The sequence below is a fragment of the Homo sapiens genome, chromosome 11 (genome assembly GCF_000001405.40).
Source record: "Homo sapiens chromosome 11, GRCh38.p14 Primary Assembly".
In the NCBI taxonomy this organism is placed as follows: Eukaryota; Metazoa; Chordata; class Mammalia; order Primates; family Hominidae; genus Homo; species Homo sapiens.
The window spans coordinates 57,104,982-57,130,344 of record NC_000011.10 but is presented as its reverse complement, the minus strand read 5'-3'; the positions used below and the strand labels follow the sequence as shown (position 1 = coordinate 57,130,344).

Here is a 25,363-nt window from a genome sequence, read left to right as displayed (position 1 = left end):
CATCACATCTTCCCTGGATTCAATGATTTGTGTCTATTACATCTCAGTGTCTGTTGTGCCTGATTCAGTGGCCTGGCACCATTGTAGGCACTCAATGAATGCATAAACCATCCCAGGTCCATGATTTACGAGGTGGCTAAGATGGTGGAGAGATAAGTGACTTGAAGAGGCAGAGGCTTAGTGAGTAGGAAGCAACAAAAGAGCAGGTGCAAAGAAAGCACCTTAACCCCCTAATGCATCCTCCCGCTTCCTCACCCCTCTTGCTGAGGTTGTCAAGCTAGGTTTCTCTTCCTGGCTCCAGGCTCTCCATTTCCCTCTGAGTTTACACCTATATCTTCACAAACTCTGACACTCCCCACCCCCAATCTGGGGCCAAATTTGAGAGCCAAATGCCCTGGATCAGGTTGAGCCCTTGAGTACTTCCTAGCTGAGATCCAAAGACAAGGTTCAAATACAAGATCCACAATTTATTTATTGGTGTGGAGTCTTAGGCAAACTTCCTCACTTTTTGTAGCTTGTTTCCTTGATTGTAAAATTGACATGGCAATTTTTTTTCTGTGCCTCTCATGTGGCTTGGGTGAAAATCATATCCAATGATGGATAAGAAAGAACTTCCTAGAAATGCTGTAGATGACTATTGTTATGATGATAATTGATAAAAATAAATGCATGGAATGTTGCTATTTCCTGCATTCTTTCATGAAAGCTGAGGGTAAAAGAAAGGTGCAGTCAAGGAATTGAGAAATATCACATTGGCCAACATATTGAACCAACTTGAAGAAATTAACTAAGTTTTTAGGGCTTTTTATTATCTCTTAGCAATGAAACAGAGTGGGCTAGACTGAATCCAAAGCGTTCCTGTACCTCATGTGTAAAGGCAGTGTAGACTAATGGTTTGGAGTCAAATTACCTGGATTCAAATCCCATCTCTGGCAACTAGGTAGAGCTACTTAAGCAGTAGCTTAGTGTCTCTGTGCCTCAATGTGTTAGTAAAATGGGAACGATTTTAATAATGATACTTATCCAATGGTCTTGTTTCAACTAGGTACAGCAATCCCTATTAATCATTCGGAAATGTGGCTGGCACACAGTAAATGTCATCTTTGATCATTTCCTCTATTAGCTTCCTGCTTATTGGGGGTTGACAGTTTTGCTTTTGCTCCCATCTTGAATAAAATAATGAAGTTCAATAATAACTAGGCAGAGGGCAAGGAAAAAAAACACCTACTGAAAGATTGGCTCATAACTGAGGATAGAAATGGTCTTAGCAACCCTCTAGTCCAATTCTCTCATTATAGAAATGGGAAAACTGAAGCCCAGGGAGGAAATATTTTTCCTGAGGTTATATAACAAATTCAGTTCAATTTATTGACTCTTTTCTCATGCCTGTTATACACCGAGCATTATCCACATTTCTGTGGATAAGTGGATGAATGAGAAACAGTTCTTTGCCTTTGCAGAATATTTCCCAAAATGTATCACTTGCAAAACGAAGTTACCTTGGTTGAAATTTAACTCAGAAAATTCTGGATTAAAGAAAACAAACAGGGTTTTTGCCTTGTGCACTGCTCATCCCGGAGGCAGTCTGCCATGCACAGTGTAGGACATGAGTCTTCTGTTCCCTTAGGGTCCATCTGGTGGGATTTGTGCTTTGTGGCCCATCCAATGGACATGTGACTCTGGCTAGAAGTTCACGGAGTAGTTCAGGGTGGGGGATATATGGAAAGAGATTTAGCAGTTCCTTTATGGGATGTATACCAGAGGAATATAAATCATTCTACCATAAAGACACATGCATGCAAATGTTCATAGCAGCACTATTCACAATAGCAAAGATGGACTGAACTTAAATGCTCATTGACAGATTGAATAAAGAAGATGTGGTACATATACACCATGGAATACCTTACAGCCGTAAAAAAGAATGAGATCATGTCTTTTGTGAGAACATGGATAGAAATGGAGGCTATTATCCTTAGCAAACTAACGCAGGAACAGAAAACCAAATACCACATGTTCTCGCTTATAAGTGGAAGCTAAATGATGAGAACTTATGAGCACAAAGCGGGACACAAGAGACACTGGGGTCTACTCAAGGGTGGAGGGTAAGAGGAGGGAGAGGAGTGGAAAAGATAATCATTAGGTAATGGGCTTAATTCCTGGTTGATGAAATAATCTGTAAAACGAACCCACGAATTTACTTGTGTACATACCTTCACATGTACCTCCGAACCTAAAATAAAAGTTTAAAAGAGATATTTATTAGAAATTTACTGGTGATGAGGAAGAGATGGGGTACACAATAGTGTTCAGGTAGACCACCCCTGAGGGCACAAAGCCCTCTTCCCTCTGCCTAATGTTTTTTGAGGATGAAATCTCCTTCCATGGACCACGTAAGAACAGTCTTAGTCAATGCCAAGCACACACACTTTAGGAGTTGTAGTAAGCAACTGAGATGTTGAAGGAGGGAGAAGCAACAAGATGACAATCATATCAAGACAATGACGAGGGCAGGATGAGGGTGCTAGCCACTACTTACATGATGTCTACTGTGAGCCCGGCCTGCCTTTACTTGTCTCATTACCTGTATTAACCCATTCAATTCTGATATCAACCCTTTGAGGTAGGTACCATTATTACCTACGTTTTGCATATGAGGAAACAGACACAGGTAGCTCAATGACTTGCCCAAGTTCATGTAGCAAGTAAGTGGAGGAGCTGAAGTTTGAATTGAAGCAATGAGCTTTATTGTGGTCTTGGACCCATAGGTAGGGGTGGGAACTGCTTTTGATGTGATGTGTATTTCTCTTTGCCTGCATCATATGCCCAGGTGTAGGACTAGTTATTCAGGAAGTTGTACCTGTTTGGTACTTTCATCTATCATTGTGGTCACAAATATTCGGGTGGAGGGATTTTGCTTCGTATGGGCAGTGCAGCTACCTGGGTGTGGGAGGGGAGAGGAAAGGTCCTTCCTGCTCATGTCTACCTTTCTCCTGTTCCAAAGATTTGCCCAGATGCCAATGTCCCCATGTTTACTGCCTTTTCTATGCTCAGTACTTCATTTACACTTGCCTGAGGCACCTCCTGTGTACCTTGTTTACAAATTATTGGCACAGATCTGTGGATGTTCCCTAGATAAGTCATAGCTGCTTGAAGGTAAAGGTCAGTTCTTATTCCTGTCCCTAGATTTCCCACTTCAGGGCTTTGCTCAGTTATTACTGTTAAATGAATAAATGAATGACTTTGGAACCAATGGGTAGAACTAACTAAGAAACCTCCCTCTAAAGTGGAAATACCATATGTGGTAATCAGTTAGTGCTACCAGACACTTCCATCCTCCCGCCTTCCAGGAACATGATAAAATGACATTTCTTCATCTCCTTTGAAATTGGATATGGCTGTGTAACCTGCTCTGGGAAATGAAATGTGAGTCGAAGAGATATAAGTGTTGCTTCTGGGAAAAAGGTTTGAGAGCCAGTGTGCGATTTGTCATACTCTGACATGATGGTGGTAACACTTCAGATAGTGGCTGCCCCACCAACCTGAGTCCAAGTGGCTTGGAGCAAAGCCCCTCAGTGGACTTGTGGCATGGACAAGCAGTGAATTTTTGTAATTTAAACCTCTGGGATTTTAATGCCATTTGTTTCTAGAGTATAACCTAGCTCATCCCGACTGATGTATCACAGAAGATCTTCTGGGAGACCATTCTGAAAATGAACACCACTCTTGCCAAGCATAAAGACAAGACAGAAAGTCCACAGGGAGCTTGAATTAGAGGGAAAGTCCTGCTGTTATTGGTTTAGAATCCAGTTTTTTTAATTTTTTAAATTTTTAAACTTTTTATTTTTTTGAGATAGAGTCTCCCTCTGTCACCCATGCTGGAGTGCAGTGGCGTGATCTTGGCTCACTGCAAGCTCCTCCTCCTGGGTTCAAGCAATTTTCCTACCTCAGCCTCCTGAGTAGCTAGGACTACAGGTACATGCCACCACGCCCGGCTAATTTTTGTATTTTTAGTAAAGATGGGGTTTCATCATGTTGGCCAGGCTGGTCTCAAACTCCTGACCTCATGTTATCCACCCGCCTTGGCCTCCCAAAATGTTGGGATTATAGGCATGAGCCACCGCTCCTGGCCCAGAATCCGGTTTTAAGAATAGCAGAGGAGTGGAAATGAAGCTGTAAGACTGAGTGCAATAGAAATGCTAAATGAATCTGGAAGGGTCACTTGGTCTATAAGCCATGGCTAGGGAGGTGGCAGGGAGCAAGGATGACTGACATCTAAAGCGGAGGATGGATGGGGTTGTGCGGGGGCCACAACTTGTGGTCTGTGTTCTATTCTGATCATATAATATTTTTTAAAATTTTGCATTAATTGCCATTATTTAAAAGTCCAGATTTTTGATGTGTCTGGAACAAATCAGAAGACCAGAATGATGAGATATGCTACTGCCTTTACTGTATACATGCTGCAGGTGCCTAATATCTGTGGTCAGGCCTGCTTCATTTATTGACCTGCCTAAGCCTGGAGCCCTTAGGATCAGAGACCCCTTTATGATTTAGAGGTGGGACATCTCATCTCGATCTACCTTATAGCTATTAAATGTTATTACAGGCAAAACAGTGCACTTTCCTCCTCTGGATTTTGAGAGCAATTGCTCTTTCCGGTGCTAAGACAAGAACTGTCTTATGGTCAGTTTTGAAAGAACAAAGATGCCCAAGACTTTGACACGTCTACGCACACATAAGACAAAATGATTCTGAGATGTGCGACTCAAGTTAGACATGTCAAAACCAGGAGCCTTTAAAAGTAAAAATGGCAGACAAGATCGAAAAGTCTTTTGTTCTGGCTGTTTGCAAATTGGCCATGCCAGTTTTCCCTTTTTGCAAATGGACTGGATTGAGAGAAGATAAAGGTGAAACTTGCTGCAAGAGAAAGTGAAAAGTGGGCAGAGAGAGGATTGTTGGAGAGGTCTGAGCATGGAGGAGAAAGTTATATAAGGCTTCAGAGAAACTCTTTGGTGAGATCGTTGGGCTCAGCAGATGAGAGACATGTGGAACAAACACAGGGAGAACAAAGGCAGTAGAGGAAATCCAGGCAGGATCAGCAGATAAGTCAGAGGAAGAAGACAAAGGCAGCTAAATTTAAACAGGAGAGAAAAGATGCCTCAGCGGGGCCAGGAGCAGTCTATAAATACCTTGAAGGCAACAACCTCCAGAAAGAAAGGAAGGATTATTCACTGTCTCCCCAGATGTAGGACAGAGACAGGGGCCAGAAGGAAGCTGAGCTGGCGTCAGGCTGTTCGACCCAGGGAAATAATATGATGTTTGTACTGTGGTAGGAACTGGGCAGTGAGTGGGGACACCAGCTCCTGGGTGGCTGCTCAAAGTGGGATCGCCTCCAGGCTAAGCCAGCCTGGGACACTTCAGAGACCACCAACCCCTTGCACAGTTGATCTCTGCTGACCAGGAAAGCATCCTCTTGTGGGGAAGGAATCCCCTCGGCTCTGAATGCCGAGACTCGCTGGTGCTCTTTCAAGTCACTTAACTTCTCTAGCTTTTGTCTTTCCTCTTTGTAAAATGGGGGCAATTGTTGTTCGCCTAACAGGGATGTATGAGGATCAAATGAGCTTTTGTGTATGAATGGGTTCTGAAAGCTGTAAAGCCTAGGACTGATCGAAGAAGTATGCTCTGTCCGAGAACCACCTGCCTTTGTTTTCACAGCTGGTCAGGGACATTGTTAAGGGGAAGGAAGATTTCTTCCTTCCCTGTTTCTTTCCTGTTCTTCTCATTTGCATTCTCTCTTGTGTTCTTCCTTCAAGCATTTCGTGATGCACTAACACTCCCCTCAGCCCTGGATATATGGCCCTGAGCAGAGCAGAGTCCTTGCTTTTAAGGAGTTAAAAGCTCAATACAGAGAGCAGACATGAACCCAGATAACTTCCTCCTGGTGCCATAGTGCCACCGCAGAAGCAGGGGCATAGCCATGAGCGGCTGAGGAGAAGAGGTGCAGTTCAAATGGGAGGAGGAGCATGTAGCAATGTGCAGAGATGGGAACATCATACTGCGAGTTAGGGAACTGCAGACAATTCAGTGAAGGCTGAAACATGGGCTATGTCTACTGTAGAGGAGCCTGAGACAAGTCTAGTGGGATATACAGGGCTGTGTCTGCAGGACCTTCTAGCCCAAGTCAAGGACCCATGTCCTGTTGATAGAGGGGATGCAGAGAAGGGTTTGGAGCAGGGGAGTACCACAATGACCTTTTTTTTTCATTTTATTTAATAGAAAGTCCTCTATGTAGGCAATGTGGATGAGGGACTCAGGCGAATGGCCTGAGCAGAGCCCTGTTCCATTCCCGCTACACATTTGTGTGTGTGTTTGAGGTGGGCAGGGGATTTGAGAAATCTGAGGCACGAGGATTGATGGAGGCGGGTAAAGGGTTAACTCTGGGGCTGAGCTGAGGCTGATGGGTGAAAGTGCTAATTAGCTGAGGGCAAGGTCCAGGAAATTGCCGAGGTTGTGCTTCCTCGCTTAGGCTGAAGATAATACCACTTCCATCCCATACTTCTTCTGGGAGGAAACGCCACCCTAGGGCCCAGCTTCCGTAACTGAGGAGCAGAGCCGGGCACTGCCTCGAGTTCCTTTCTCCTGCCTATTTGCATTTGCGTTTGAGAAATGGAGGGGGTGGGCAGGGTGAAGCCAAGTCATCATTAAAACTTCTTGAATAGAGAATTTCATGGTGGAAGAAAGCCCTAAAGATCACGTGCAGCAGACAGCCTTTGGGGAACTCACCCAGCTCCCACCGTATAATCTGAGAACAGTTGTTCTGCCTTGCTCTCCCCATCCCATGTAAGCAGAAATGGACTCTAGTCCATGTTCTTAGGGAATATTTCTTATTCTCTAGTCACAGCTGATTGGGCAAGTAGTGGGTACCTGGCTCAGGAGAACAACCCAGAACCTGGGCTGGCCCAATCATACCCTCCCCAGAAAATTTGGAATTGGGTTGCAGAGATAATTGTTTAGCTTGCTGTGTGTCTTGACCTTCTCAGATGATCTAGAATTGAGATCTGAAGGGGCCATCTTGGGTAATGGGATGTATGTAGTACAACAGGAAGAGCTCATTTGCAGAGAGAATGCTTTGAAAACAAACTGAATGACAATGTAATGAAAGAGAGTGAAAAAGAGAGAGAGAAAGATAAGCAAATAAAGAAAAAAAGGAAGCAAGAGAAAGACAGGGAGGGATGGCCTTGGCAGCTGAATGACTTTTGTTTTTGGTGTTCCTGTGCTTGGCTTCTGTAAGATACTCCTATATCATTCCAGTAAACTCTTTTTATTTAAGTTAGTTTGAATTTTTTTTGTAACCAAATGGTTACAAAAAACAAAAACAAAAACAAAACAACTAGTCTTGCTCCTTCACAATCAAGAAAGTTTGCACCTAAAATTTCCACACCCTTTTTTTTGGGAGAAACTCTGTGAGATATTTCATTATGTGCTTTCTGGTTAACACTTTCAATATCTTTTACTCTTCTAGTTAGAAAGTCCTGCTTGAGAACCTGCCTAAATGTCTTTTGTTACATCTCAAGATCAATAACTTTTGTTCTGTGATAGATCATTTCTTTTTTATGTTCTGTCCTCTTTTCTTTACAGTAATTTTTACATAATAAATATTTATAATTTTTTTCTATTGAATAGATAAAAAAAACCTTTAGCAACCTCCAACAGTTAGCTGAAAAAAGAGAGAGGAAGAACAATGTGACTTTGGACTAATAATAAAAATCAATGCCTAATTGCACATTGTTTGGAAAATAGTGCAATCTCTTAAAAAAAGATGGTAGAAATTAGCTGGGGATTCATCATCATGATTGAAGAATCCAAAGTATAGCACAAGAATTCAAAGGGCTTATCAGCCCTTCCTAACATTCTGGCAGCAATTTAGAGTTTCAAGGAGTTTAAGAGATTCTGAAAAGATAGATTTCTCAAATTGAGGCTTTCTGAATGATTAAGGATTTCTATCCCTGACCCTCAGCAACTTTCTGGCTGATTGGAAAAATTTCTGTTTTTTTTTCTCAGAGTTTCTGGTAGAGAGTGGGTAAGAGCAAAGATCTCAGGTCAGACAGGTTTCACATTCTGGGCTAAGCCACTCTGTTGTCTCAGATTACTTAACCTTTTAACCCCTGTTCTTTATTTAAATGGGCCTAAAGATAGTCCCTACCCATATAGGAAAAACAAATGGTTTTTCCTTCTGTACTCACAGAACGCTTCACTTTCCACACTGGATGTGTGGTTTTCTTTTTTTCCCAACACCAACCAGCTCTCTTATTCTCCCAACACCAACTGGGTGTCCTAGAATTCAATAATGACACAACCTACCTGAAGTTGGAACCAGATCCCACAAGTTAAGGGCTCAGTCCCACAAGACTGCCCCCACCTCAGATGCCAGTCTCACCTCCAGGCCTCTTTTATTCTCAGCTGCCCATTATAAATGGAGGATTCCCATAACCTTCTCCTCAGGGTGGATAACTTGCTATGACAGTGCCACAGAACTCAGAGAAACACTTGCTTATAAAAAGGATAGAGGATGAAAAGGCCCATGGGGGTTGGAAAAGCCCCAAGAGCAGGAGCTTCTGTCCCCATGTAGTTGGGGTACACCACCCTCCTGGCGTGCGATGTGTTCTTGTTTATTGACCCTTCTGCTCTCTGAACCTCATACTTTAGGAGAGTTTCATCACATAGGCATAATGTGGCTTTATTATGCAAGGTAATTTGTGGAAACTTCATTATGTAGAAATGATCATTATTAACTCAATCTCCAGCTCCTCTCCCCTCACCCAAGGATAGGAGCAGGGGGTTGGCTAAAAGTTCTGAGCTTCCAGTCATGGCTTGGTCTTTCTGGTGACCAGCCCCCATTCAGGAGCTACCAGGAATCATCTCACTGGCTGGTAGCAGTAGCTCATGCCTATAATCCCAGCACTTTGGGAGGCTGAGGTCGGCAGATCATGAGGTCAGGAGATCGAGACCATCCTGGTTAACATGGTGAAACCCCGTCTCTACTAAAAATACAAAAAATTAGCTGGGTGTGGTGGCACATGCCTGTAGTCCTAGCTACTTGGGAGGCTGAGGCAGGAGAATTGCTTGAACCAGGGAGGTGGACTTTGCAGTGAGCCGAGATCACGCCACTGCACTGCACTCCAGCCTGGGTGATAGAGTGAGACTCCATGTCAAAAAAAAAAAAACAAAAACAAACAAACAAAAAAGAATTATCTCATTAGAACAAAAGATATTCCTCTCACCCAGGAAATTCCAAGGGATTTAGGAGCTCTGTGTCAGAAACAAGAAATGAAGACCAAATATGTATTTCTTATTATATCACAATATCTTACTACTTCTTAGAGATGTGGGGAGCTCATGTTTGTAAGGTTCTCTTTAACACGTTTACTGTTGCGAGTGGCCTTAGAAATATAGCTTCTAGGAAGTAATGGGGCTGGAAAGGATGATGGAATGCCTCTGATTGGATGCTTTCAGCTGTGATCACAGAAAACTGACTGGTTTAAATAAAAAGGAATTTTAAAAATCAGCCATCCCTGAAAGTCCTGAGGTGGGAGGTGCTGCAGGTTAGCGTGAGATAGTAGACAGAGATGTCATTACTCATCTATCCTCTTTGCAATCCTTAGGAAATTGTCTTTGCCTTCAGCCAGGCTCCCTGTTGGTTACAAATTAGCTGCAGAAGTTTCAGGTGTCTCAGTGAGACACAAACATTTTTAGAGAAACAAGAGGCCATACCTACTTTGCCTTTCCAAAAGGGGTGAGAAAACTCTTCCTAGAAGGCCCCAAGAGTCTTCTTTTAATGTCTTCTGGTTTGATTTTGGTCATATGCCTGTTTCTCAGCCACTCACTGGCAACAGGGATAAACTGAAACACAGTTGCTTAGATTATTCATGCTGTGAATTTTGAATAAAGGTGGTTTACATTAGTAAGGAAGCAGGAGGGAAGGGGTGTTTGATAGGCAACTAAGTGCTCACTCTGGAGACTTTATTCATCTGTATTTGTTTACCAGGCTGTCATAATAAAATGCTGTAGGCTGGGAGGCTTAAACAACAGAAACTTATTTCTCACAATTATGGAGGCTGGAAGTCCAAGAGGAAGGTGTCAGCAAGTTTGGTTTCTTCTGAGGCCTCTCTCCTTTCAAATGACTGCCTTCTCACTGCTTCCTCACATGGTTGTCCCTTCGTGTTGTGTCTGTGTTCTAATCTTGTCTTCTTATAAGGACACCAGTCATATTGAGTAAGGACTCACCCTAGTGATCTCATTTAATTTTAATTACCCCTTTAAAGGTCCTAGCTCCAAATATACTCACATTCTTAGGTACTAAAGGTTAGGACTTTACCATATACATTTTGGGAGACACAATTCATCCTATGTTATCACCCAACCCACTCCTTTTATACGTTGGAAAAATTGAGGCCTGTTAAAGGAGCTGCGGTCTGTCTCGAATCACGCATACTCTCTAGACTCACGCAAATTTTTCACAATTTTAATAGTGAATTTTTAGCCCCTTGAGCTATGGTTCCAAACCTTAAGAATTAAATCTGTGCTTGGCCAACCCCTAACATACAACTTGCAACAAGCTTGTTTCTGGCCGCTGAACTATTGGTTGGAGGCATGTGCTGGTTTGCCAGCAGGAGACTAGGCCGGTAAGGACACATTGATTGACTTCTTTACCACCTATTGCTTGGCCTGGAAGATGGCCATCTAATCTTAGAGACTGCCTGTGCTTCAGCAAGCATCACCTGGTAGGAGAATTAGCACTTCCTGAAAAGAAAGAACGTGCATTTGGGCTGGGAGATATAGGGTTTCCCATCCTTGGCTTTATTGGATTTAAGGATGTAAGTTAACCAGCTATATAGTCTGATACTGGAAGGCCTAAGCAAAGTTAACAGGTCTCCTACCTTGTTCCCTAAACTGAGAGCTTCTCAGAGCCTTTATTATGCTGCTGCATTTTGTGAGTATATTCACAAAGTGGTATACAATACACAGCATTTTCTAAAGTGACTGTGGAGCCCTCTTTTCACACATTTGGGAAGTTCTGGTCTGCAGCAGTGCTCCCTAACCTTTTCCATGGCCTATCTATTCCATGAATAGAATTAACATTTGTTTGGCATCCTGGTAGATGCTTCAGGACTTTGGCTGCTCAGATCCAGCCTGGCTGCTTTAAGGTAGGCAGAGTGGTTGGGAAACTCTGGTCTAGACTCTTTATAAATTAGATATCCTCAGGCCCACAGACAAGAAAATCAGCCTTGCTTATAGAGCCTCCTGGATTCCTCAGTTGCCAGGCACCTGACGACTATACAAGGATAAGGGTCTCTGCATGGGGTCCAACCCCATAGATCTTCATTCCCTGGATGCCCCCTTCTCTCCCTCCCTCCCCTTGTGATTCTCATTTTTATTCTCTCTCCTCCTCTCTTTCTTTAACATAATTTACCTCTCTCTCTTTCTTTCTTTCTGCTTACCACTCCCAGATGGATAGATACATATACACTCATGCACACAAGTTATAGAGGATGGTGCTGATGTATAGAGAATAAGTAGAGCTCATTAATGATGGGAATAGGCACACCAGTTTATTTATTTCTTTATTAACTTTTAAGTTCAGGGGTACAAGTGCAGGTTTGTTACATAGGTAAACTTGTGTCATGGGGGTTTGTTGTACAGATTATTTCATCACCCAGGTATTAAGCCTAGTAACCATTAGTTGATTTTCTTGATCCTCTTCCTTCTTCCACCCTCTACCCTCCAAAAGGCCCCAGAGTTTATTGTTCCCTTATATGTGTCCGTGTGTTCTCACCATTTAGCTTCCATTTGTAAGTGAGAACATGTGGTATTTGGTTTTCTGTTCCTGTGTTAGTTTGGTGAGGATAATGGCCCCCAGCTCCATCCATGTCTCTGGAAAGGACATGACCTCATTCTTTTTTATGGCTTCATAGTATTCCATGGTATATATGTACCACATTTTCTGTATCCAGTCTATTATTGATGGGCATTTAGGTTGAGAGTATGTCTTTGCTATTGTGAATAGTGCTACAATGAACATATGTGTGCATGCGTCTTTATAATAGAATGATTTATATTCCTTTGCATATAAATCCAGTAATGAGATTGCTGAGTTGAATGGGATTTCTGACTTTAGGTCTTTGAGGAATTGCCACACTGTTTACCACAATGGTTGAACTAATTTGCACTTCTACCACCATTGTATAAGCATTCCTTTTTCTCCACAACCTCGCCAGCATCTGTTATTTTTTGACTTTTTAAATAATTGCCATTCTGACTGGTGTGAGATGGTATCTCATTGTGGTTTCATTTGCATTTCTCTAGTGATCGGTGATGTTGAGCTGTTTTTTCATATGATTGTTGGCCACATGTATGTCTGTATGTCTTCTTTTGAAAACTGTCTGTTCATGTCCTTGCTCACTTTTTTATGGGGTTGATTTTTTTTTTTGTTTTTTGTAAATTGTACACCAGTTTTAGAGAGAAGCCATGAGCTGGCTGCTCCTACAGCAGTGAAATGACTTTCTTCGTTCTCTGCCCAGTAGCTCTGGTGCCCACACCCCTGCCTCCTACTGCAGGACTGCAGGGTAAGACACCGAGGGCATAACCTCCAGCCTCAGCACACTGAAGGCGCTCTCGATCATACAGTAGGTGACTCAGGGCAAGCCTGCTGCTCACTCTCATCTCACACCCCTACTCCATCATCTCCACTTTCCCACTGGCCAGAACTGGTACTCTAGTTATAATAAGGTTGCATCTTGACTTCCATTTTCTCAATCATCTCATTCCTCTTCCCGAAGGAACTGGAGTTCTGTTACCTGCTGTTATAGACTGAATTCTGTCCCCCTAAAATTCATATGATGAAGCCCTAACCCCCAGTGTGACTTTATTTGGAGACAATGCCTTAAAGGGGTAATTAAAGTTAAAGGAGGTCATAAGTATGGGGCCCTAATCCAATATGACTGGTGCTGGCTGGGTGCGGTGGCTCACACCTGTACTCCCAGCACTTTGGGAGGTGGAGGTGGGCAGATCGCTTGAGGTCAAGAGATCAAGACCAGCCTGGCCAACATGGTGAAACCTGTCTCTATTAAAAATACAAAAATTAGTGAGGCTAAAAAATTACCCAGCTACTTGGGAGGGTGAGGCAGGATAATTGCTTGAACCTGGGAGGAGGTGGAGGTTACAGTGAGCAGAGATCACACCACTGCACTCCAGCCTGGGCAGCAGAGCAAGACTCAGTCTAAAAAAAAATAACAACAACAAAGAACAATATGATTAGTGCTGTTATGCTGTTATAAGAGGAGAGAATGACACCCGGGGGCGCATGTGCTGAGGAAAGGCTGTGTGACGACCCTGTGAGAAGGCAGCTGTCTGTAAGCCAAGGAGAGAGGTCTCAAAGAAAGCAAACCCGCAGACACCTTCATTTTGGACTTCCAGAACAGTGAGAAATACATTTCTGTGGTTTAAGCCATCCATTCTGTGGTTTGTTATAGCAGCCCCGGCAGACTAATACATTTGCTGCCACCTGCTGCCATGTTCTTGACACTGCTTTCCAGCTGGGATCCTTGTTTACTGACCTCTATACAGCAGGTTATTTAGTTTAGAAGCAAGACATTTGGGTTTGAAACCCTGCTTGTGTTTGAATCCTGTCCCTGCCACTTGCTGGCTGGGTAACCTTGAGTAAACTCAGTAAACTCCCTTATCTTCATTTCATTTTTGATGAGAAAGGATAACAATACCTTCCTCAGAGGCTCAAATAAGATATATGCAAAGTGCTAAGAACTTGGCCTGGTACATGTTAGTATTAATAACAAAGTTATTAAAAATTCTGGCTTGTTAAGTTGATATAATGATACCATAGGTGAATAAGATAGAAGGCAAATGAGACAACTTATGTTGTACATGTTGTGTTTGGCACAAAGTCAGGGCTTAATACTGGTTGGGTCTCTTTCCTACAAGTCTGCCATGTTCCCTTGGTTTGTATGCACTCTGTGCCTGGTGCTGAGCCCCTGACTGTTATAACTGCCTGTAGATCCCACATTCCAACTGTTGGACTAGTCTCCTGCCCATGCTATCATAGCTCTCTTACCTGTTTAATTTTTTTATCCTTAGCATTGATTACTAGCTTGCCTACTGTATATATATATTTAACTTATTTAATTTATTCATTTTTTCTTTCCTTTGGAATATAAGCTTCACGAGGGTATGGCGTATTGTAGACACTCAGTCTAGAATTGTCAAAAGAGTGAATGAATGAACAAATGGTAGATGCAAAAGCAGATTCCAGTGCATGGAGGGGGAAATAATGTATTATTGTGGCTAAATGCTCAGGGTCTGAAGCCAGAGGAACAGAATTCAAATCCCGACTTTATTACTTTCTAGCAGTGGGTTTTAGACCAGTTGTTTAGATGTAAGAATCAAATGAATAAATACAAGTAAGTGCAGAGAATGGTACCTGTAAGAGCCTAGTAGACATCAAGTGGTGCTCTCGAGAAGTTATAGAGAAATTGATGGGAATCAGTAATGGGGAAAACCTATGACTCTTTCTTGATATTTGAATAAGAAAGTGTATTAGTCTGTTCTCATGCTGCTATAAAGAACTTCCCAAGACTGGGTAATTTATAAAGAAAAGAGGCTTAATTGACTTACAGTTCTGCAGGGCCGGGGAGGCCTCAGGAAACTTACAATCATGGTGGAAGAGGAAGCAAACACGCCTTTCTTCATGTGGTGGCAGGAAGGAGAAGAATGAGCAAAAAAGGGGGAAAAGATCCTTATAAAACCATCAGATCTCATGAAAACTCACTCAATATCATGAGAACAGCAGCATGGGGGTAACTGCCCCCATGATTCAATTGCCTGCCACCAAGTTCCTCCCATGACACGTGCGGATTATGGGAACTACAATTCAAGCTGAGATTTGGGTGGGGATACAGCCAAACCATATCAGAAGAGAGTGAGGGGGTAAAAATTAGATAAATAGGCTCTAGAGTACAAAAATAGGATTTCTCTTCTCTATGATGAGAAATTAATTCTCATCCTGACTTTGCAATTCCACTGGACCACATTCAAGTCCAGAAGAGGAATTCAGGGCCAGGCATTCCTACCTAGAATAGGTTCACAGGAATAACGAAGTTCAGTTAGCCCCACTTATTGTCAACTCTTAACACTGGTGTGGTATATGACAGGTGGCAAAGCCCTTCTACCTGCCTCTTCCCTGGTCCCTTCCTCACTGCAGCCCTGGGAGGAGGTAGACTTTCTTCTTATTTTATCCATGAGAACACTGAGGCTCTCAACAGGTTCTACTTACTTGAGATCATGGAGCTTCAAGAGCAAGGGCCAGACTGCAAACCAAACTCCTCTGAGTCTAATGCTAGGCGAGTCTCTCTGTTGTCATACACTGATTAGTTGTAACAGTGGGGAGGAAAGTAGAAACTTTGGTGCCATTTTTCTCCAGAAATAAGATCCAGTCTTCTTTCTTTGTATAAGTGGTACTTTGTTATCTCCTGGAAAAAAAATTGTTCTTCCACTTTTGCAGAGTTTTGTTTTCTGTTATGTGAGATCATAAGAGTTACCATAGCCTGTGTGGGAGCTGAACTTAATGCAGTGGGGGGTCGATCGATTCTAAAGCAATTGGAGAGCTGAGTGTCTCTCTTAAAAGGCAATTGTGTTTTATTGAATTTTTCAATTCTCAACTACAGGGGGATTACAGGATTGCCTGAGTGCTGGTTGTTGGAACAAGGGAAGGTCTCTCCATAGGTCTGGGTTGTGTAGAAAGAAGCAGCTCAGTGCAGTGTGGAGATGGCACACTGGGGCCTTAGAGTCCATGCCTAGTATATGAGTATTTTGTTTAGGATGCCCAGTATATTACATCAAATACATTTTATTTTGCTAGTATTAAAATCCAGAATATTTCACATAAACTTATGGGTTTATTTTTCTTTTGAAAAAAAGAAGATCTGGCAACACTGGACCCCGTTCTATGGCAACAATTGGCTAGGTCTGAATATCGGATGCTCCCCTCAAATGAGGCATGAGTCCTTCAGTTTGTCACAGCCCCCTCCATCACCTATGGTCTTACATCCCTTCCATTTCACTGATGACCCTAGAGGATATTTTGGTTTGTAACCATAAATAATATAATAATAAAAATGGGAGACTTGAGTAACAGTTCTGATGCCAAAATGCTATAGCGGTGTTGGACAAATCTCTTAAGCTCATTAGAATTTGGTCAATTCATATGTGAAAGGAGATATTGTCTTAACACGTGAAGGTGATTGAAACAGCTGATGCATTCATCAATATATGTATTCAGCTAATGTTTACAGAGTATATATATCATGCATGTTCCTGGTGGCCGAGATAGATATTGTGAATCTTATTGTTCAGTGGAGAAAGCAGATAACTCCCTAAGTGGGGAAATACAGGGTGCTATGAGGATACATTGCAGCAACATCTTACCGGGCCTAGAGTTTAGAGAAGACCTTCAGGGAGAAGTGAGATTTAAATCTAGACTTGAGCAATGAGGAGTAATGGGAAGAACAGTGTCCCAGGCAGAGAGAACAGCATATATGAAGGCTGGAAATGAGAAAGCAAGGCATGTTTGAGCAACTCAAAGGAATATCATGTCACTAGAAAAGGATGGGAAGTGAGGCTGGAGAGATGAAGAAGCATCAGATTATGAAGGGATTGGAAGCCAAGAAGTACTATGGTTGGTTTTAGTTTAGGACTTTATATTTTAAGACTTCAATATATAAACTTGGTTTGAGTTTACTTCTTCAGCTATTCAAGGAGAAGCAAGTGGAATGTGAACAGATCCAAAGCACCAACATGTGAGATGGAAAGCCTTTCCCTAAGAGTAAATAAGGAAACAAATAATTAATTTATTAATCATGGATCCCAGTTGAGTCTGGTGAGATGCAGAGCCACTTGACATTTAGGTGTTTGCATTAAGCAAAATATAGTTGACTCCTTTTTTTTTTTAACATTAATTTATTTTTTTTTGAAACAGAGTCCTGCTCTGTCACCCAGGCTGGAGTGTAGTGGCACAACCTTGGCTCACTGAACCTGTGCCTTACAGGTTCAAGCGATTCTCCTGCCTCAGCCTTCCAAGTAGCTGAGACTACAGGCATGCACCACCATGCCTGGCTGACTTTTGTATTTTTAATAGAGACAGGGTTTCACCATGTTGGCCAGGATGGTCTTGAACTCCTGACCTCAAGTGATCCACCCGTCTTGGCCTCCCAAAGTGCTGGGATTGCAGGCGTGAACCACAGAACCTGGCCACAAAATACAGTCGACTCTTGAACAATGTGAGGGTTAGGAATGCTGACCCCTGTTTAGGCAAAAATATGCTTATGAATTTAAACCCCTAAAAATGTAACTACTAATAGCCAACTGTTGACAGGAAGACTTACTGGTAACAAACAATTGATTAACACATATTTTGGATGTTATATGTATTATATACTGTATTCTTACAATAAAGTAAGCCAGAGAAAAGAAAATATTATTAGGAAAATCATAAGGCAGAGAAAATATATTTACTATTCATTGTGGAAGTGGATTATCATAGAGTTCTTCATCCTCATTGTCTTCATGTTGAGTAGGCTGAGGAGGAGGAAGAGAAAGGGTTGATCTTGCTGTTTCGGAGGAGGCAGAAGAGGTGGAGAAAGGGGAAGGGGAGGCAGGAGAGGCAGGCACATTAAGTATAAATTTTATTGGAAAAAGTCTGCTTACAAGTGGACTGGGGCAATTCAAACCTGTATTGTTCAAGGGTCAACTGTAATGCTTTATACCTTGCAAATAAAAAGCACAGCTAAATAATACCTATTATAAATTACATTTTAATAGAAAACCAAAACTGCCTGCATGAGGTCTTTTGGTCTAACGTAGCTTGACAACTGCACTATGTGTTGTCAATCAACTGAAGTGCTGAGATAGGACATCTGAAAAATTAATCAGTTTCCAAATGGGTTTCCCCCAAAATCCATTCTTAATAAACTTGTAGTGGTTACTGTAGAAAATGTTGCTTAGATGACATTTAAACATAAAGACAGTAACAGAAAGAAATGATCCCTCACGACTCTTTTAACTATAAAATTTGACCTTTTTAAGTTTCTGTAATTCTAGGTCAAAATAACACAAAAGTTATTTAAATAACACCAAATTTCAGTTGGCAGTTACAGGTAATTGAGTGAAAAAACTTGTAATCCAAATACATACTTCAGTTCTATTGCAGAACTATAGGGGTACAGAAACAGAACCAATCTTGCCCTGGTAATTGCTAGTGGGCATGGGGATAGGGACATCTCTCTGGCTGTTTTTGTGATTGAATGCACTCTCCTTTCTCAATTCTCCTTTTGGGTTGTTATCAGTGTAAAGAACATCGACTTCTCCCTCTGTCTATTTCTACAGGGAAATGAGCCTGCTCATTTCTTCCTCCATTAATGTCAGAGTCCTTGGCTCCACTCCAATCCCAGTGCTTGTTTTAAATTGGAGCAAAGTATGAGGCATGTCTTCCTACACAGTCTAAAAATTCCTGTTTAAAGGGATTATCTATATTCTGGAACATAAGCTTGCATAAAAGAGCAACTATCTCTATTTTTCTGACTATTTCCCTTCATCTGGGATCTGGGTCATCCGGATTAATTATAAATTGTCAAGAGGCACAGGTTGAGCTTGGTTGGAATAATTGTCCACATGATGTTACTGAAGAGACTTCAGGAAAACACTCTGCTCCAATATCACACTCAACGACTTTCTCTGAGGTTAGGTATGTCTCCAATGGTTTTTTTTCAGATGAGTAGTATATATTAGAATCAAATGAATGTATTCATCAAGCATTTATTGCCCATCCACTATGTTTTATGTAATATGATAAATGTAAGGAATGAATAATAACTATGGCAATAATTACTACTTATTGAGCATTTACTAAGGGATAGGTACTCTGCTAGGTGCTGTAGAGGCAGTATTTCATTTAATTCTTTCAAACTCCTTGAGAGGTAAGTATTATTGCCTTTATTCTGTAAAAGAAAATACTGAGTTTTAGCAAGGTTAGTTAGCTTGCCCAAAGTCAAGATCACCCAACTAGAGTGTTTCAGAGGTGGATTTGAACCCAGTTGGCTTACATCAAAGCCAAAGCTTTCAGCCAACATACTATCCTTGAGGAGACTATAGACTGATGTGAGAGGAAGGCAGGCAAACTAGCAATTATGTTGAGCAGGGCTTTAAAAAAACCCAGTGGGAAGTCAATAGAAGGGGACAAGAAAACTCCAGATTGAGGAAGTCCAGATGTGCAAAGAGTGAGAACATGGTGTGCACAAGAGAAGGTGGAAACTCTGTGTGGCTGGAGAAGGGAAGGTGGGAGAAGGTTGGAATGGAGATTGGAAAAATGCTCTAGAACAAAATTGTAAAAGATTTCAAATGCCATGTCAGGGAATCTGGATTTTATTTTATGGAATGATAGTGACAGCTTTGTATACCGACTCCCTCCATAACAATTTATAATTAACTACTGTCTTGAAATAAAATTTACAGATAGCATAACATACCTGCAAATGTACTTTTAAGAGATAATATATCATTCTAACTCTAAAGAAAAGTAAAAGTAAAAGGAAAATAACTTAAAAAATAAGTAACATTTAAATGCTAAGTGCAGCTGCTGTTGTAGTTAGATGTTTGCATCTGCATGTTATCACGAATGTATCAGCTACAAATGCAGATTGACATGATGATTTCCATGTGTTAAAGACTCAACTACAATGAGAGTGTTGCTTTTGGTTATGTGATTTCTCCAAATGGTAAAAGTTTCTGGTTAAATTTCCCAGCAAAACAAAGTCTGACCTTTCCTCCATTTATGTGGTAGTTGCAATTCAGGTAACCCATTGTATGTTCAAATTGTGCAAAAATACTTTGTTTTTTTGTAACACAGAGTTAGGTTCTATGTTCAGTTAATCATAAACAAGGTTTCCACTTACATGATATCCGATGGGATATTTGAAAATCATGGTTGATGTTGACTATTCTTGCCTGTGAGATACCATGCTGTGGCTTTAGTAATCTCTGCTCCCTAAATACTAGTAGTCTCCCACCAACTATTGGGACAACTAACAGTGTTCCTGCAAGTAAAAAAAAAGTCTCTAGAGATCTTTACCATTCAGTTAGGAGCAAAGTAAAGGAAATAAATTAAGAATAATTTAAAAAGCCCTCTCCTAAAGGAGGTCCAAATATAATGAGGAAGATTGACAAGAAAACAGTTATTAGGAAACTCCGCTAAGTGCTAACACACTATTGGGAGATAGAAGAGGGAGACCCAATTCTGCCTAGCGCCAGGAAAGGTCCCATAAAGGGAGTGATACCAAAGCTGATAAATGATAACTTGGACTCTGCTGAACATGGTAGAAGGAGGACCTTCCAGAAGGAGGTCACAGCATGTGCAAAGACATCAGGGGACGCCAGGAGAACCTGGCACAAAGACATCAGGGGAAGCCAGGAAAACCTGGCACAGCCAGGGTACTGTGTGAATAGCCCAGCACAGGGAGTTCAGGAAGGAGGGGAAAGGATGCTGGAAAGACTGACCAGGGTCAGCCCAATCCTGAAGATTACAGATCTCTGGATCTGTCCAAGATTATTAACAGAGAAGTAACTCTCTGATTTTTGTTTTATATTAAAAAAAAAACATTAGCCACATCGTGGGGCAAAATTGCAGTATGCCGGTGTTCTCAAAGTATGGTCCCTGACAAGCAGTAATAGCATTACCTGGGAACTTGTTAGAAATACAAAGTTTTAGGCCTTGCGCCAGAGCTACTGAACCAGAAATTCTGAAGTTAGGGCCTAGTTAGATGTGTTTTAGTAGGCCTCCTACCTCCACTTTGATGTCTAACAGACATTTCACACTCAACATGTTAAAAACTGAACTTTGGAGTAAGAGCAACTGGATTGACCCTCTCACTTTGGACAACTGAAGCAAATAACTCAACATAAGAAACAATGGTTTTCAGATATTGGACACTAGACAGCATAGGACAAAGATCCCTAAGAGAAGGGAAATGAGTGAGGTGACCCTTCTGATTGTCTCAAATTAATGCCTGGAGAGAGTTTCCAGAGCATGGCACCAGGAATGGAGAATTCAAACAGAACTGTGATTTTCCTGAGTTGAGGACAGAGTTAAGAATTTAGGGATCCCAGGGTGGCTAGAATGAACAGAACAGAGTACTGGAGAAGAGAGAGCTGCACAGAGAGAAGTTGCATACATGTGCACATACACGCACACACACATGCACGCAGAGGGAGAGACCTTTGGAAATCTGTAGATTCTCCTGTGTTTTCAGCTGAGTATTGATGAACACATGCATGTAAAGAAACTACCTGAGGCCTTGGAAAGAACCTTTAGAAAGCAGTAGGCAGAACAATCTTAGAAGCCCAGCTAAGACCAGGAATAGTTCATGTTTCCACCAGCCAGAGTGGGAAAACTTTGTAATAAATGGGGTAATGGGAAAAATATTCAGAAGGGTATTGCCTCAGTAATAAGTTAAAATTAACTTCAGTGTAAAGGCTACATTAGTCCCACTGAACAAAACTTAAAAGCAAGCCTCAACAGGATTAAACACATTCTGAGTAATTTAACTGCATCCTCAAACAAAACTCAAAAATATTTAAAAGAGTATAAAAATATCCAGCACTTGAAAAGCTAAAATTCACAAAGTCTGGCATCCAATCAAAATTACCAGGCATGCCAATAAATAAATAAATACATAAATAACATAAATACATAAATAAAAAGCAGGAAATAGGACCCATAACAAGGAAAAAATATCAATAGAAATAGGCCCAGAAATGAATAGATAACATAATTATTAGGCAAAGACTATGTAACAGTTATTAGGACTAAATATCATAAATTCAAGAAAATAGAGGAAGCAGTATATGCTAAGGAAAGACACAGTCCTTTTCATTCAACCCAAATCTAACCTTTACAGGTGAAAAATACAATGTCTGAGATAAAAAATACATTAGATGTGATTAAGAGATGATTAGGCACTAAAGAAGAAATTTTTATTTTTTAAATTTTATTGATTGATTGATTGAGACAGAGTCTCACTCTGTTGCCCAGGATGGAGTGCAGTGGTGCAATCTCAGCTTACTGCAACATCTGCTTCCCTGGTTCAAGCAATTCTTGTGCCTCAGTTACTCGTGTAGCTGGCATTACAGGTGTGTGCCACCATGCCCAGCTAATTTTTGTATTTTCAGTAAAGACAGTGTTTTGCCATGTTGGCCAGGCTGTTCTTGAACTCCTGGCCTCAAATGATCCACCCACCTCAGCCTCCCAATATGCTGGGATTACAGGCGTGAGCCACTGCACCTGGCTAGTAAAGAAGAAATTTTTAAACTTGAAGACATAGCAATAGAAACCATCCAAAATGAAACACACAGAGAAAAATGATTGAAAACAAATGACAGAGCATCAGTGAACTTTGGGACAATTTGAACCAGGTTAATATATGTGTAGTTTGAGTCCTCAAAAGAAAGGAGAGAGAAAGGGAACCAAAAAATAATTAGAAGAAATAATGATGGAAAACATTTTTTAATTTGATACAAACTATAAGCCTGCAGACTTAAGAAGCTCCACAAACTCTAAGGAAAAGGAAGACTAAGAAAATGACCATGAGGTCATATCATCAAGTAGCTCAAAGCCAGTGATAAAGACTAATTCTTAAAAGCCACCATAGATTTTTTAAAAGAGACATTGAATGCAGAGAATTACAGCTGATTTCTCACTGGAAACAATGGAAGCCAGAAGACACAGAATGATTCCTTTAAAATACTGAAAGAAAAAAACTGCTGAATTAGAATCCTATACCCAGTGAACATATCTTTCAAAAAGTAAAGCAAAATATAACAAATTTCCAAGACAAACAAGCTGAAAGAGTTAATCACCAGCAGTCCTTTCTTGTCATACAGGAAAATTAAAAGGAATTCCTTTAATGCCTGAATTCCTTCAGGCAGAAAAAATATAATACAAGTAAAAAGTATGAATCTACACAAAGAAGTTTAGAACACCAGAAATGGTAAATATGTATATAAATAAAAAATTAAAGCCTGATCTTAATCCCCAAACCTACTCTATTTATAGCCTTTCCCAGCTCAGTTATTGTCATTCTATTCTTCCAATTGTTAAGTCCAATTAACTGCCCCCTCTCTCTCACACTTTATATTTAGTCCATTAGGAACTTCCATGGCTCCACCCTTAGCCTATATCCAGAGTCCAGCTACTTCTCACATCTACTGCTATGGTTGTATTCCTAGTTACCATAATCTTTAACCTGGATTATTGCAATAGTCTCCTAAAAGGTGTCCCTGTATCCCCCATATTCTATTTTTTTTTTTTTTTCCGAGATGGAGTCTTGCTGTGTCACCCAGGCTGCAGTGCAGTGGGGCGATCTCGGCTCACTGCAACCTCTGCCTCCCGGGTTCAAGCGATTCTCCTGCCTCAGCCTCCCGAGTAGCTGGGATTACAGGCGCCCGCCACAACACCTGGCTAATTTTGTATTTTTAGTAGAGACGGGGTTTCACCATGTTGGCCAGGCTGCTTTTGAATTCCTGACCTCATGATCTGCCTGCCTTGTCCTCCCAAAGTGCTGGGATTACAGGCATGAGCCATGGCACCCAGCCTCATATTCTATTTTTAACAGGGCAGTCAGAGTCATCCTTTAAAGTATAAGTGAGTTCATGTCACCCATATGCTCAAAATCCTGCAATGGCTTTCCATTTCACTTAGGGTAAAAGCTGAAGTTACTAAACAATGGCCTACAAGGCCCTACGTGATTTGCACCTCCTACCTCCACCTCTCTGAACCCACTTCCTGCTACTTTCCCCGTTGCCCAGTCTGTTCCAATCATACAGGTCTCCTTGCAGTTTCCTGAGTGCATCAGGTACATGCTGGCCTTAGGAAACCCTAAGTAAGTCCTTCTTGCTGGACTCTCCTTTCCCCAGACACCTTTTTGGCTCATGCCCTTGCCTTTTTAAAGTCAAATGTCACCTCCTTCACGAAGCCCAGTCTGACTGCTATTTCATACTATCCTCTTCCCCCTTTCCTCCCTTTTTACAGAGCATTTCTTGACTTCTAATACATTCTATAATTTACTTTCGAGGTTTATGACTCTGTCTGAGTCCATTTAAGTTGCTACATAAATTACCATAGACTGGGTAACTTATAAACCAAAGAAATGTATTTCTTACAATTCTGGAGGCTGGGAAGTTCAAGATCAACGTGCTGATAGACTCAGTGTCTGGTGAGGGCTGTCTTCTGATTCATAAAAGGTATTTTCTTACTGCATCTTCACATGGTGGAAAGGCTAGTTAGCTTTCTGCAGTCTCTTTTATAAGGGCACCATTCCCATTCATGAAGGTGGAGCCCTAATGACCTAATTATTTCTCAAAGGTCCCACCTTCTAATACTATTACAATGAGGACTAGGTTTCAATGTATGAATTTTGGGAGACACAACATTCAGACCATAGTAGTCTCTTTCATTAGAAGGTAAATTCCCTGAGGTCAAGTACCTTTGCTATTCTGTGTACTGATTTATCCCAAGTACCTGGATCTGTGCCTCTCACATGATAGGTGTTCAGTGTCTGTTGACTATTGAACAAGTAGCCTGTTCTGGGTTCCACATGAGCAACTGACCTGAATTCCGAACCTAGGTCTTAGGTGATTAGGCCCATGAGAGCTCTCCTTTACTAATGCTGTAACACAAACATCATATACATGCTCAGTCTTTTTAAAGATAGAACTCTTGTGTTATTTTCCATTAGCTTTAATATTACATGTCAACACATTCAATTATGAAATTAAAAGAGATAATATGAAAAAGTATTTTGTAAATGATAAAAGTGCCTATAATTTTTAGTTGTTAGTATTATTTATCTCACTGAGTTAGTCTATTGATGCAGTTGGCCAACGTCATTTTTAGAGTATTAATTTCATCACTATAGAGTGAATATCATAATGTCTCCTCAATCTGTCTTGCAATTATTGTTGAGTTTCCCAGTTTCAGTCATTTGCGTTACCACCTTAACAACTTTTCTCGTTTCCTCTACTACTCATGTTTTTCTCTAAACAGTCTTACTTTTTATTTTCATAAATTTATTTTAAGAAAAAATATACTACCTCATTGAGAGGTAGAGTCACTTGCCATAAATAGAAGGCACATTAAATACACATTAAAATGCCATTTAGCTATTTAATTAAAAAAAGTTGTGTCCTGCCAAAAACATCTCATCTACCATTCCTGATACCACACTTTTGGAAGCATAAGGTGCTG

At 41.1% G+C, this 25,363-nt stretch overlaps 1 long non-coding RNA gene across 1 annotated transcript in view, besides 1 other annotated feature; it reads left to right on the top strand.

Moving 5' to 3' along the window:
* LOC105369309 (uncharacterized) overlaps positions 1–25,363 on the top strand; it is a 189,617-nt gene that overhangs the window by 101,282 nt on the left and 62,972 nt on the right. The window lies entirely within an intron of this gene.
* Positions 5,236–5,879: an enhancer, noted in NCBI's record as "OCT4-NANOG hESC enhancer chr11:56891940-56892583 (GRCh37/hg19 assembly coordinates)". NCBI's record gives its function as "activates a minimal SCP1, AML or CMV promoter by ChIP-STARR-seq in naive H9 embryonic stem cells {active_cell/tissue: H9 hESC(naive)}" and the evidence as "EXISTENCE:reporter gene assay evidence [ECO:0000049][PMID:30033119]".